This window comes from Homo sapiens, chromosome 9 (assembly GCF_000001405.40).
Source record: "Homo sapiens chromosome 9, GRCh38.p14 Primary Assembly".
NCBI classification, from domain to species: Eukaryota; Metazoa; Chordata; class Mammalia; order Primates; family Hominidae; genus Homo; species Homo sapiens.
The window spans coordinates 114,398,014-114,411,628 of record NC_000009.12 but is presented as its reverse complement, the minus strand read 5'-3'; the positions used below and the strand labels follow the sequence as shown (position 1 = coordinate 114,411,628).

Sequence of the window (13,615 nt, the reverse complement as noted above, 5' to 3'; positions counted from 1 at the left end):
GAAAAAGTCACACCCTCCCTGAGCTTCCCTGGAAAGTCATGGCTGCCTGATAAGAGCTTCCTGCACAGCTGAATGTGCAAAGCCCCTGATGCGCCAGAGCAGGGCAGGATCCCACGGCATTGGTCCTACCATGTACTGTCATCTGAGTCCAACCCCAGCTTCCCCCAGGATCAGCTGCAGGTTGAATTCCTGGGGCAGGGGGCAGTGGCTCCACCTGAATGTGGCAGAGGCTCCCCTTGTCTTTGCTGTAGATACCTCTGAGGCTCTGACCCCTCTCTGTGCCTCCTGCTGACACCAGGACTATGAATGTTGAGCCTGAGGAAGTGAATGCATGTCAATCACTGCCTCACTGTTCACCTTAACGCGCCTGGCTGGACTACTTCCAGGGAGCATTGGACTCATTATGGTCTTGGAGGAGGGAGGTGGTGTGAGAGGGCTGCCATTCCTTTCCATCCTAGTTGTCATATGGGCCAGGACACGTCTCGCGGTTCATTCTCTTGCTGGGGCAGATTGCAAGGCCTCCCAGTCTCCCAATGCACGTAACAGTCACCTTCCTCGTACATTGTGCCAGGCCCTATTCTGAGTGCTTTGTAAGTGTTAACATGTCCACTGCCTAAGGCAGGTATTGCTGTTAACCTATTTTACAGAGGAAGGATTTACCTACCATCACTCAGCTGCAAGCGGCAGAACTGGGTGTGAGCTCAAAGAAGCCTCAGAGTTGGCAGAGCCAGAACCAGTGTCACTAATCAGTGAGTGAGAGAGCAGCCCAATCACCCTCGCCCTTTTGAAAGAATCCCCCCAACCACCACATACCGCGCTTGCATCACAGGGGCTGTCAGCAGCAGATTCCTGTGAGGCAGTGTGCAGTTAACAGGTCAGGACCAAGGTTTGCATGTAAACCTCAACTTTGTGGGGAAATGGGGGCAGTTGCCCCTGCCTGACTATGCCCCTGAAGCATCATGGGACCAGATGAGGAGCTCTGGGTTTGCAGGGCTCTGACCCGGAAGGCCCGAGCCAGCATCTTGTGGGTCGAGATGGGGATATGTGTGGCATGACTGGCCTCTCTCTGTCTTAGGGGTATGGCGTCAGGAGTGCCTTCTGTCCCCACCTGCTGCCTTCACACTCAGACATTCATTACTGCTCACTGCAGTGACCTGCAGCACCACCCCCCTCAACTCCCTGCCTGCTCTGGCCTCCTCCAATGATGGCTAGAGTGATTGATTCATTCATTCATCCATCCTGCCATTCATTCATGGATTCATCAGTTTGCTTCATAAACATTTATCCAGCAGCCACTGTTCTGAAAAGTGAGGAGAGAGTGAGGACCGAGTAGTTGCATGTCCTGCCTTCTCAGAGTTTATATCCTATTGAGAGAGACAGACAGTATGCAAAGAGTATAAAGTCAGATGGTGATAGGTGTTACACAGAAAACCAAAGCAGGAACGGGATAGACAGGGATGGGGGTGGGGCAGTACTGTTTTAGACAGGGCTTCTCTGGGAGGGCCTCGCTGAGGTCTGAACTAAACAAAGTGAAGGAATGAACCACAGTGTGGTGCAGAGTGAGAGCGGCAGGTGCAAAGGCCCTGGGGCAGTAATGAGCTCGTGATGTTGGAGTAGCAGGAAAGGGCCCGGTCATGTAGGCACAATGAGTAGGGTTTGGAACTTCCTCCAACTGAGATGAAGAGGCCCTTGGGGGTCCTGAGCTGCAGAGAGACCTGACATGTGTTTCTGGCATGACTCCCTAGCTGCTGGGTGGAGATGGTGATCAATGAGAAGGAGAAAAATAAAGCAAGGTGGAGTGGGGTGAGGGGAAGGTTACGATTTTAGCTGAGGTGGTGAGGGTACACCTTGTCGAGCAGGTGACAGGTGGGTTAGGTTTTGGAGGTGAGCGACAGCATGCCTTGTGGATGGATAGCCAAGCAGAAGAGTCGCAGACAGAGACAACAGCCAGTGTGAAGGCTGACACATCCGTGGTGTTCCAGCCTGGCTGGAGAGGATGTGAGCAAAGGGGATCTTCGTAGAAGGCAAACTTGACCACATCTCCATGGCAACCCACTGCCCTCAGGCTTAAGTGCAAGAGCTCCATGCTTGACTTCTGTGGAGCTGCTCGGGGGTTCTCAAACATCCTATCTCCATTCCTGCTTTACACCCTTTCCTCTGTCTGAAACACCTATCGTTCCCTTCTTTGCTCTGCTCACTCATAAGACCTAGCTTTGAGTTGTGCCCCGTCCTCCAGGAAGCCTTCCGTGGTAACCCCTCCCCCGATTGCATTATATGCCTGTGTTTGCCCATTGGATGCTCTCTCTGCAGTCTCCCTGTTGCTTGTTTGCTTGTCGACTGACCCCATTGTCTCTGAGCTACCAATGGCAGGGTTGGTGTCCCACCTCTGTGTCCCCAGCCCCTTATCAGCCTGGAGCTTCAGAGACTGCTCAGTACTGATGAGCACTGCAGTTGAGACCTCAGCCAAGTGTTGATGTAGCCAGCAGGGTTCTCCAGAGAAAGAGAAGCAATCAGTTATACTATATTGTGTGGGATTGGCCCACGCAATGATGGAGGTTGAGAAGTCCCCTGATCTGCCATCTGCAAGTCGGAGGCCCAGGGAAGCTGGTGGTTTTGTTTTAGTCCAAGTCCAAAGGCCCAATAACCATGAGCTCCGGTGTCTGAGGGAGGAGGAGATGGATGTCTCAGCTCTAGAAGAGCGCGCAAATTTGCCCTTCCTCTGCCTTTCTGTTCTGTTCAGGCCCTTAGTGGATTGGATGAGGCCCACCCACATTGGGGAGGGTGAGTTTTGCCCAGTCCACCCATTCATATGCTGATCTCTCCTGGAAACACCCTCACAGACACACCCAGAAATAATGTTTTACCAGCTATCTCAGCATCCCTTAGCCCAGTCAAGTTGACACGCGAAGCTAATCATCACAGTGGTGGAAGCTCTTTTCCATTCTGGGCTCTAGGGCCGAGAGAACTGGCTCCCTTAGCCCTCAAGAGAGCCCAGCTCAGAGAGGAGCTCCGATGGGCCCCCCATAGACGGCCCACAAATGGCCTTTTGGCAGCCCAGTGTCACTTAAGGAGGCATTGGGTTTCTTCTTGTGAATTGGGAAGGGAAGAAAGAAATAGACGTTTTTTGCAAAATAAGGTCCATTTAAACCTTAAACCACCACCTTGGGATTAAAACCATTAGAATTTTAAAAAGGGAGAGACTTTCCCCATCCACTTCTCTCTTGCCATTTTCACACCTTCCTGGGATTCATCAGCAAGTGGTGGAGAGAGGCCTTGGCTTTTGGAGGCATGACTGTGGAGCACAGCGCTCGTGGCCAAACCCAGGAATTCCCAGCCCAGGCTAGAGATGCCCCAGCATCTCTGGCAGTTCAGGGGATGCCTGAAAATGATCAGAAAGTCCCAAAGAAAACTTAACTTCAAAGTGACCAGCAGGCAAATTGACCTTCATTTTAATGGGTAAAGTGAATTTCGATGAAGTGAGGTATGTCAGGGCTCACATGAACCACATGGAGGTGTCCTAAGACTTCCTCAATTTTGGTGTGCTGGAGAACAAACCAGTGTTCCCTTCTCAGCTTCTGTTTGCTCACTTTGCTTTCTCGTCCATTTCTAGAACACTCTGGACCTGGAGGAAACTGGCGAGGCTGTCCAGGGCAATATCAACGCCCTCCCAGATGTGTCCGTGGTAAGGCCCTGGCTGGCCCTTTGGTTCTGCTCTCCCTGGTGTGCTCAGGTCCTGGTGGCTCTCTCCTCTCCATGACAGCCACGGAGAAAGGGCACAGGGTGGCAAAGGAGACAGAGGCCTCTGCCATGAGCTCTCACACCCAGCTACAGGTCTGTGCACAAGCTCACCATTCTAGTATCTCTAGCAGGCACCAGGATCACTTGCCTCTGGTGACTTCAGGCGGGGCCTTCAGGCTGGCTGGCCACAGTATGACCAAGTTTCTTAGCCTCTCTGTGCCTCAGTTTCCCCGTCGGTAAAGTGGGGATGATGATCATAGCATACCTACCCCATAAGTTCGTGGCATGGAGTAAATTAATTAAGTAAAGCCTTTAGGATGGTGACTGGAAGGTTGTTGGAGCTGTGCAGGTGTCCGGTGTTGACCTAGGCAGAGGGGAGTGGTAGTCACAGTGTCCATAGCTGCCCCTCACTGTGCACCTGCTGTGGCGCAGGCACTGTGCTAACAGTATTCACGTGGCTTTTGACATCACCACACCACCTCTGCTGGGTAGATGTGCTTTTCCCCATTGCCCAGAGGTGCACTCAGAGAGGTGTTGTGCCTTGCCTGGGGCCACATAGCACCCCAGCCCATGTATCCATCTCCTCCTGTCCATTCTCTCTCCAGTCCTTTCATACCTCTTGCCTCTAGTACTCAAGATCACCCCCTAAAAAGAAAAGCCAAATAAATGCATTTTTTGTATTTCCATCCTCTTCATCGTGTCTCTAATGAAGTCTTGTTCCCTGTGACAAGCTCTGGCTGATGCCAAGAACTTCAGTTCCCAAAGGTAATGATGCTGTCCCCAGAGACACCCGCCAAGATCCCAACGCTTATCAGCTGCCGAGATGCAGGGGAGAAGTTTTCCACTCAGGTGTTGCATTATTCAGAGCAGTGTGGCCAAGAGCAGTTAGAGTGGGGACAGAATTCCAGCTGGGCCTGGCACCACTCAGCTGCTCGGCCTCCCCTCTTCCAGGCGTGATGGGGTCTGACTCCTTCTCCGCCTGTTGGGTCTTTTGGCAGGATGATGTCAGATCCACCTCCCAGGGGCTGTCAAGCTTCAAGCCACTGCCTCGCCCACCACCTCTGGCCCAAGGCAACGACCTCCCACTAGGCCAGCCAAGGAAGCTGGGGAGAGAGGACCTCCAGCCACCTTCCTCCATGCCTTCCTGCTCGGGCACTGTCTTCTCGGCTCCACAGAACCGCAGCCCGCCAGCGGGCACCGCACCCACCCCAGGGACCTCCTCTGCACAGGACTTGCCCTCTTCCCCCATCTATGCCTCCGTCTCCCCTGCCAACCCCAGCTCCAAGAGGCCGCTGGACGCCCATCTGGCCCTGGTCAACCAACACCCCATCGGCCCCTTCCCACGGGTCCAGTCACCCCCGCACCTGAAAAGCCCCTCTGCAGAGGCCACAGTGGCTGGGGGCTGCCTTCTGCCCCCATCACCCTCTGGCCACCCAGACCAGACAGGCACAAACCAGCACTTTGTCATGGTGGAGGTCCACCGCCCCGACAGCGAGCCAGACGTCAATGAAGTGAGGGCGCTGCCCCAGACGCGCAGTGAGTACAGCAAGGCCAGGCTCTGTGGTCCTTGGGGGTCCCTGTCCTCTTCAGGTCAGTCTACCTGATGACACAGTGAAGGGGGGGACCAGCTACTTGTTGAGGGGGCTCAGGGCCAGAGTGGCGAAGGGAGTTGGAGACCCCAGTTTGAATCCCGGCTCTGCCACTGACTGGCTGTGTGACTGTGGACAAGCTGCCGTCTACACCTTGCTTTCCCCATCATAAAATGGAGATAACAGTGACAGTCCTGCCAGGTTGCTGCGAGCGTCGGGGTGCCTTCTCCAGCTCCCCCTACCCTGGCCACCCTGTGTTCACCAGGAGGACTGAACTCGTGGAGGGCAGGGGTGGCTTCCCTTCCTGTCCGCCATGGCCTGGCCTGGAGTAGATGCTGGAAACTGAAGTGGCAGTCTCTGGACCCCTGGCAGGTCTAGGGTCAGGGTGCAGGAAGAATCTTGGGGAGGCCAGCTGACGCTGTGCCCCGGTTTGCTAGAGGACATGGGCTGTGGGGTAGAGGGAAGGGCAGAGCCTGCCTCCCCACCCTGAAAGCTGTGGAGCTCCCGCCTGTGAGTGAGTTGGGAGCATTTTGTTGGATTCTGCTGCCATCTTGCGGCTACAGTGATACATAGGCCCCGTAGGACATTCCCTGAGCGCCTGCACAGACCAAGATGCAAAATGCAGGGCTCTGGCGCTCGCAGCCTAGTGAGGGGAGGCAGCTGAGGGAGAGCAGGCAGACGTGGTGAGAAGACCCAGGGCTGTCACAGATGGATCACTGCTGTCTCTAGAGCTGGCACTGAGCTGGACATGCAGGGATAATAAGAGCTAACAGCCGTACTAACAATAAGCACTTTGTGCCAGTGTTCAAAGGGCCTTGCCTATAGTATTAACTCATTTAATCCTCCCAGTAGCCCTATGAGGTTGGTACTATTATTATCTCCATTTTACAAATGAACAAACTGAGACATACAAAGTAGTAATTTCTGGCTAGGTGCAGTGGCTCATGCCTGTAATCCAAGCACTTTGGGAGGCGGAGACGGGCAGGTCATTTGAGGTCAGGATTTCGACCTCAGGAGCCTGGGCAACTTGCTGAAAGCCCCATTTCTACTAAAGATACGATAATTAGCCAGGTGTGGTGGGCACCTGTAGTCCCAGCTACTCAGAAGGCTGAGGTGGGAGGACCACTTGAACCCAGGAGGCAGAGGTTGCAGTGAGCCAAGATTGCACCACTGCACTCCAGCCTAGATGACAGAGTGAGAATCTGTCTCAAAAAAAAAAAAAAAAAAAAAAGAGAGAGAGAGAGAAAGTAGTAATTTCTAGCTTACCAAGAGAAAAAGAGAAATTCCACCACACCTGGTCTGAACCTCTGCATGGCCCCTGCCTGAGCTGAGTGGTGGGCACATGCCCTCCAGCCCACCAGTCAACCCACGCTGCTTCACTATGTGTATAACAGCCGGGCCCCTGAGTTTGAAACCCTAGGTTAAGAACCCACACCCTGGAGCCAGGCAGTCTAGCACAAGTCTATTCCCTGGACTGCTCCATTCTATACATCAGATCTGTGAGTTTTTACAATCACCCCAGTGGTTAGGCACCATCATTTCTGTATTAGAAGGAGAACATAGGAGGCTTAGAGAGGCTCTGTTACTTGCCCAGGCTTGCACAGCTGGTCAGTGGGAATTCAAACCTGACCTGCCAGACTCCAGAGTGTGTGTTCTTAAGTTAGGGTCTCAAACTCAGGGGCCAGGCTGTTACACACATAGTGAAGTTGACTGGTGGCTGGAGGGCATGTGCCCACCACTCGGCTCAGGCAGGGGCCATGCAGGGGTTCAGGCTAGGTGTGGTGGAATTTCTCTTTTATTCTTGGGAAACTAGAAATTACTTATATGAAATCTTCTAATTTGAATGTGTTGGTTCATCATTAAAAATTGGTAGCATTATGTGAGTTTTAAAACAAAGAAAACACCCACATCTGTGGGCTAGGTTTGCCTCCTGACCTCTGTTTTATCATTATGCCAGTGGCTGGGAACTGGGAGATCCAGGCAGATGTCCTGGAAGTCACAGCCTTCAAGACCAGGTCTGGTTGAAAGGACAGGTCTTGAGTAGGTGGAGAGGGTGGCAGGGAGTGGACCTGCCCTCTGGCCCCACGATCTCTTCATTCCTTCCCCCATCTTTGCCTGGGGAATTCCCCCAGCCTTCCAGCCTCCATCTCCGTCACTGCCTCCAGGCAGCCCTCCCTGACCCCAGCTATATAAGCTGCTTCTCTCTTCCTTTTCCCCTCTCCAGCAGCCTCTACGCTCTCCCAGCTCTCGGACAGCGGGCAGACTCTAAGCGAGGACAGTGGTGTGGATGCTGGCGAGGCAGAGGCCAGCGCCCCAGGCCGAGGAAGGCAGTCGGTGTCCACCAAGAGCAGGAGTAGCAAGGAGCTGCCTCGGAACGAGAGGCCCACAGATGGGGCCAACAAACCGGTGAGCCAGGAGGAGGAGGATGCAGAGGGCTGAGAGGAACACGGGCCCCAGGCACAGAATGGGAGGTCCCGGGACCAGGGCTCAGCTTGGCAAGTGACCACAAAGGGAGGTAGTGAGCTCCCTATAACTGGAGGGATTTGGACGTCCTGGAGGAGCACTGGATTAGGAATCTGGAGGCCCAGTTTCAGCTCTGCCTTTGCACTGACACTAGGGGCTGAGGCTGAGATTGGTCTTGGGAATCTTTAAGCTCCTCTCAGTTTTGACATGGCCAGGTGGCTGAGACAGTCTTCGGAGTCAGGCTTCGATTCAAGTCCTGATGCCACCACCAGACAGCCTTAGGCAAGCTCCTTAACCTCCTGAGCCTCGGGGATTTTGGTGAGGATTAAAGAGCCAAGAACACAAGTGCTTGGCTTAGTGCGTTGCACACCTGAGGCTCCCGACACAGGGCTGGAGCCTGAGCTCTGCTGACCCAGGGTGGTGTCACGGCCCGGCCCAGCCCCCTGGCCAGGCCTGCCAACTGCGAAGGCCTCAGTGGTGTCCTTCCTAATACCCACAGCCTGGACTTCTGGAGCCCACGTCCACTCTGGTCCGTGTGAAGAAAAGTGCGGCCACCCTGGGCATCGCCATCGAGGGTGGCGCCAACACCCGCCAGCCCCTGCCTAGGATTGTCACTATTCAGGTATGTCCCCAGGGGCCCCACTTGCCATCTCTCCCTACCCCTGAAAGGCCCTTTCTCAGCATCTCCAGGGTTTTGCGACTCCCATGGGTAACACGGCACTCAAGGGCAGACCTAGGCTTATGTCACCTTTGCTCTTCCGGGCCTCAGCTTTCCTAATCCGAGAAGTGGACACTCAGATTGTAGCTGCCTGCTTGGCAGTGTTGGGACTGACCCAGTTGGTGGTCAAAGCCAGGCCTGTCTAACCCTTGGGCACCCCATGCCCTGTGTCTCCTCCCTGCAGAGAGGCGGCTCAGCTCACAACTGTGGGCAGCTCAAGGTGGGCCACGTGATTCTGGAAGTGAATGGGCTGACGCTTCGGGGCAAGGAGCACCGGGAGGCCGCCCGCATTATCGCCGAGGCCTTCAAGACTAAGGACCGTGACTACATTGACTTTCTGGTCACTGAGTTCAATGTGATGCTCTAGAGGCCAAGGCCTGAGGGCCTCCCACCACTGCCCAGCCCCTGGTCCCAGTCCCTTTCCACCGTTGGCTTCATCAAGCTCCTTGCGGGGTTGGGGCTGCATGGCCAGGGTGGCAGGAAGACATCCCCCCTCCATCCCAGCCCACTGGACCAGAACTGGGAGAGGAAGAGAGCAGGACAAGGCAGACAGAAGGTCAGGTCAGGAACTGGTGCTGTACTGGGTACACAGTAGGCGCCCAGGACAAGTGGGTTGCAAGACAGGAAGAAAGGAAAAGGAAGGGCAGAGTGCTGGTTTCTCCAGGTTGGGTTGGGGGCACTGCTGTCCCCCCTCCAGCTAGGACCCAGCCCATCCCCAGATGCCTGAGCCTTTGTCCAAAGTGAGGTCACTCGAGAATTCATGGACACGGCCCCCAGTCAGGGGGCATCTTGCAAGACCTTTAGTGCCACAAATAAGCATCGAGCACCTCCCCATTCACACCCCCATTCCTCCTGGCTCCTTATCCCCCATGGTGTTTATTATTTATTTCCCTCCCCATGCCCCTGGGGACCCCAAGGCCCCAGCTTCCCTCTGCACCCCCAGCCTATCCCAGAGGCCTTGCAGGTGACCAGCAGTGTCATTGTATTTATATACAGAGCTTATGACTTTAATTTTTCAATAAAGAAATCTGAACAAGGTTAGACGTCAGCGTGCTGTGTGGTTTACCTGGGTGGCTGGGGTTTCCATGTGGGGAGGGGTGGGCAGGACAGGTGGGGGCAGTCAGAGCACCACAGACCACCACCCCGACTGCCCGCATGGCTCCAATTGGGATACACGGTGGGGCGTGCAGGGGTGCTTGAGCCACACTCACATCTTGGAGCCTCTTAATTGAAGGCTTGAAGGCAAAACTTGACTATTTACAGATAATATTTTTAGATTAAAACCCACAAGTATATTATGAGGCAGAATGCACAATGTGCATGAATGTTTTAAATCTCAGATGCAGCCCATTCCTTTCCAGAAGCTGCCTTGGAGATAAGGATTTGTACCCAATCAATCGTCAAGAAGTGCCCTCAGGGCAGACCAGCAAGGAAGTGGGGAAGCAGGACAGGGAAGGGGAGGAAGCCAAGCGAAGGTGAGATTTCAGGCAAAGTCTGCAGAAGGCAGCTTCAGCCTGATCCCAGGAGGATCCCAGGGCGTACACTAGGCCTAGAGTTGTCTCCACTCAAGGCCAGAGGGCTGGACTTTGATGCCTGTCAGTCTTTAGACAAAGCCTACAGAGAGAGGCCATAAATTCCCAATCACTTCCTGCTCTCTACCTATGTGGGTCAAGCTGTTCCAGTAGCCTAGGACAGCGGGTGTCAGAGCAAAACATATGGGATGGGCTCGGAGGAAAAGGTTGCAAACATGGTCTACTGTACGGCCTCAGTCCCGGCCCCAGTGCTTATTCCTTCTGTCCTCAATATTTGTCTGGAAGATGGAAGAGTTTGAGAAATCCTGCTTTGTCCAGTTCTGTGTCCAGAGTTCTGCCAGAGGTGGGTTAGGGACAGTTGGTTCCATGCTCTTGTCCCAGATCCTGTTCTTGGCTGTCCTTGTTCTCTTTCCAGCCTGGGCAGACCACCTGAGACCTGAGCCATGGATTCCCCTGAGGCAGCTGGTGTTTCAGAAGGCACCCCTGCCATCCCCTGACAGGGTGCTGTTGACCCTCTGCAGGGAATGACCCTCCCACCTAGCAGCAGGAGGGCTTCGTTAGGCCTCAGATCTCCTGGCATTCAACTCCAAAGCTTGTGTGGTCATGGGCAAGTAATTTTACCTCTCTGAGCCTCTAGTTCCCCATCTATAAAATGGGTTTGGTAGGCTAAATAATGGCTCCCAAAGATACCCAGATTCAAATCCCTGGAACTTTGGAATGTTACTTTATATGGCAAATGGGATTTTGCGGACATGATTAAAGTCTTGACATGGGGTGGACCCAGTATAATCACCAGGCTCTTATAAATGGGAAGCAGAGAAAGATGTTAACAGAAGAAGACAAGGTGTGTGATGATGGAAACAGGTTGCTGCAGTGATGTGCTGTGACGATGAAGGAAGGGACCACGAGCTGAGGAATGTAGACAGCCACTAGAAGCAGAGAAAGGCAAGGCAGTGGGTTCTCCCCTCAAGAGCCTCCAGAAGAAAGCTGCCCTACTGTCACCTGGACCTGAAGCCCAGAGACTCATTTCAGACTTCTGCCCTCTGTAAGAGAAGGTATTTGTGCCGTTTTAATTTGTTACAGTAGCCATAGGAAACTAACAATGGAGCTGCCACCCCCAGCAGCTGTTAGTCACAGCCCCATGTCTGTACTTGGAAGGAGTAGGACAGGAATGAGTTTCTGGACTTGTTGCTTCTGGAATTCCTGGGCCTGACTCTGAGGCTGTAGCCCATTGAGTGTATGGGTTCCCCTCCCAGTAGAACTTTTAACCTAAAAACATTCCTTTGCAAGTGGTCTTAGAAAGGTCCAGTTAGTTGTCCAAAGTCACACAGCTAAGGAGGACAAGTTTGGACCCACAGCTGCCTTAAGCCTGGGTCTGCTCTTTCCTGCACCTGTCCTGGTGTCTTTTGAAGGGCCCAGTGTGGTAGGCTAAGGCAGCTTCAAGTACTGGGAGAGTGGGGGGAGGGTTGTCAGAGGTCCATCCTGGCCACATGTACCTGTGACCCTGACATTTTTACTCATGATGCCAATGTGGGGGTTGGGGGGAATGGAGTCTCAGGGTCTGCTTCTCCCTTGCTGGAGAATGCTGGGCAGGTTACACAATGCACCAAGCCTCGGTTTCCCCATTCTGTTCAAGAGTCAGGACCGCCATGCTGCTCAAACCCAGAAAAACACTTCACTTCCATGACCTGTGTGGAAAAACACCTTGGGCCCTTCCTACACTGACATTCCAGGGCCAGAGCCCAGAAGGATTAGCTAAAATGTTTGCCCCTTTCACAGAGCAGGCCCTTAGTGGGTAGAAGCTGCTGCTAAACTTACTACTAAATATGTGTCTAGGGAGTAGCAGGCAACCTGGGGAACTGGCAAGTGCTTTCTACCTGGAGGAAAAATTCCAAAGCATTCAACTTTGGATGCAGCTGGATGAGGGACCTTGGGCAAGTCTCTTCTTGCATCAGGACTTATTAACCCTCTTGTGTTAATAGGGTCGGTCAAGGTGCTCTTTAAATTAGTACCACTGATTTATTTCTGACGGGCCTGCCATTATGTTTATTTATTTACTCTCAACAACCGCATAAGATGTGGGTATGAATCCCATTTGCCTGAGGCTCACTGGCAGCAAGTGGCAGAGCTGGGGCAAAGAGCCCAGGTGAGTTGGACACCGTGCATCCTTCAAGGTGTGTGTGTGGTGGACAAGGTATGATGTCTGTGCTGCACTCACAGCGGGACCTTGGAAAAGTTCTTGTCCGTCTTCGGGCTGGGTTTCCATGCTTGCCTGATGGGGAGTTGGACAAGAATATACTTGGGGGCGGTGGTGATAATACCTACCTACCTCATAGGAGACGACTGAACAGCAGAAGAGCTTCCAACAGGTCTGACCCATAATTTGTGATCAAGAAAAGTTTATTATTACTGTTACTAAGCAGGCCGTTTCAGCCATGGAAGTTTGTGATTTCCTCCTCACTGTGGCTCTGTGCGATCTTTTTTTTTTCTTTTTTCTTTTTTCTTTCTTTTTTTTTTTTTGATGGAGCCTTGCTCTGTCGCCCAGGCTGGAGTGCAGTGACGCAATCTTGGCTCACCGCAACCTCCGCCTCCCAAGTTCAAGCGATTCTCGTGCCTCAGCCTCCCAAGTAGCTGGGATTACAGATATGCGCCACCACGCCCAGCTAATTTTTGTAGTTTTAGTAGAGACTGGTGGGGGTGGGGGGACGGTCACCATGTTGGCCAGGCTAGTCTCGAACTCCTGACCTCAGGTGATCTGCCCGGCCTCCCAAAGTGCTGGGATTACAGGCGTGAGCCACTCTGTGCGATCTTGCGTAAATGCCTTACCCTCCGCAGACCGGGCCTCGATCTCCGGGTCTGCGGTGGGGCTGATTGCAGTAGGCACACACAGCCTCCCAGGTCTGAGATTTTCATCCTGCAGCAGGGTTTGCGCTCCCTATGTCCGAGTTCCTGGGGGCGGGCCGTGGCGGCGGCCTTTCGGTGATTGGTGCGCTCCCAGAGGCCCCGCCCCCCCCGGGCCGCCCCCTGCTGTCGCGGGCGGGCCTCAGGGATTATGCAAAGGAGCCACCGCCCCGCCCCGCGCCCGGATTGGAGGCCTTTGTTTGCCGCTCAACTCCAGGAAACCACCCGCGCTCGGCGGCCGCCAGCAGGTGAGACTCGGGGAGGGGCTCGCGGGGCGTCCGGGGTGGTCCCTGTCCCTCGTTGGGACTCAGTTTCTCCGTCGGGAGAATGGGGAGGGAGAGTGGACAGCGCCAGTGGGCTCCGTTCCACTGGGACGGCGCTGCTTTCGGTCTTTTCCACGTGGAAACCCCACGCGCACGGGGAAGGAGACGCATCACCGCTCCGGGAATGGGAGGGAGCCCTGGACGGGCGGTATGGGCCCCAGTCCAAACCGTGCCGGCCGCGGGGTTCCTCAGTCTCCACCCTCCGGCCTCAGTCTCCACCTCTGCACAATGGGGGCGTTGGCTTTTTCTCTTTCCAGCTGGGGCTGGTGGCAGGGAGGGGAGGGGTCCCGGGGGAGCTCGGGGGTGGGCCTTGGCGGGGCCTCGGGCTGTGTTTGGGCTGGAGGCGTGGCC

General features: G+C 54.3%; 2 protein-coding genes across 25 annotated transcripts in view, besides 7 other annotated features; both read left to right on the top strand.

Annotated features, from left to right (window-relative positions):
• WHRN (whirlin) overlaps positions 1-9,549 on the top strand; it is a 103,394-nt gene extending 93,845 nt beyond the window's left edge. For 8 of the 21 annotated variants that reach the window (XM_047423168.1, XM_047423164.1, XM_047423166.1 and 5 more), the window contains 5 exons: positions 3,611-3,682; positions 4,737-5,274; positions 7,552-7,733; positions 8,290-8,412; positions 8,693-9,549. In XM_047423168.1, the coding sequence (XP_047279124.1) occupies positions 3,611-3,682; positions 4,737-5,274; positions 7,552-7,733; positions 8,290-8,412; positions 8,693-8,875 (1,098 nt within the window). In that variant the 3' untranslated portion in view covers positions 8,876-9,549. Of the gene's footprint in view, positions 1-647; positions 750-3,610; positions 3,683-4,736; positions 5,275-7,551; positions 7,734-8,289; positions 8,413-8,692 lie in introns of those variants that run through there. The other 13 variants (XM_047423165.1, XM_047423163.1, XM_047423169.1 and 10 more) reach the window with 8 other exon arrangements.
• Positions 1,992-2,041: a silencer, noted in NCBI's record as "silent region_20212". NCBI's record gives its function as "represses an Ori minimal core promoter by ATAC-STARR-seq in GM12878 lymphoblastoid cells {active_cell/tissue: GM12878}" and the evidence as "EXISTENCE:reporter gene assay evidence [ECO:0000049][PMID:35858748]".
• Positions 5,671-6,172: an enhancer, noted in NCBI's record as "H3K4me1 hESC enhancer chr9:117167737-117168238 (GRCh37/hg19 assembly coordinates)". NCBI's record gives its function as "activates a minimal SCP1, AML or CMV promoter by ChIP-STARR-seq in naive H9 embryonic stem cells {active_cell/tissue: H9 hESC(naive)}" and the evidence as "EXISTENCE:reporter gene assay evidence [ECO:0000049][PMID:30033119]".
• Positions 5,671-6,201: a biological region, named in NCBI's record as "H3K4me1 hESC enhancer GRCh37_chr9:117167737-117168238".
• Positions 5,702-5,811: an enhancer, noted in NCBI's record as "active region_28865". NCBI's record gives its function as "activates an Ori minimal core promoter by ATAC-STARR-seq in GM12878 lymphoblastoid cells {active_cell/tissue: GM12878}" and the evidence as "EXISTENCE:reporter gene assay evidence [ECO:0000049][PMID:35858748]".
• Positions 6,152-6,201: an enhancer, noted in NCBI's record as "active region_28864". NCBI's record gives its function as "activates an Ori minimal core promoter by ATAC-STARR-seq in GM12878 lymphoblastoid cells {active_cell/tissue: GM12878}" and the evidence as "EXISTENCE:reporter gene assay evidence [ECO:0000049][PMID:35858748]".
• Positions 12,891-13,190: a silencer, noted in NCBI's record as "silent region_20211". NCBI's record gives its function as "represses an Ori minimal core promoter by ATAC-STARR-seq in GM12878 lymphoblastoid cells {active_cell/tissue: GM12878}" and the evidence as "EXISTENCE:reporter gene assay evidence [ECO:0000049][PMID:35858748]".
• The window catches only part of AKNA (AT-hook transcription factor), a 67,969-nt gene continuing 67,510 nt past the window's right edge, over positions 13,157-13,615 (top strand). For all 4 annotated transcript variants that reach the window (XM_006717294.2, XM_011519065.3, XM_005252245.2 and 1 more), the window contains exon 1: positions 13,157-13,189. The gene's annotated coding sequence lies outside the window, so the exon portion shown is untranslated. The remainder of the gene's footprint in view (positions 13,190-13,615) is intronic.
• Positions 13,501-13,590: a silencer, noted in NCBI's record as "silent region_20210". NCBI's record gives its function as "represses an Ori minimal core promoter by ATAC-STARR-seq in GM12878 lymphoblastoid cells {active_cell/tissue: GM12878}" and the evidence as "EXISTENCE:reporter gene assay evidence [ECO:0000049][PMID:35858748]".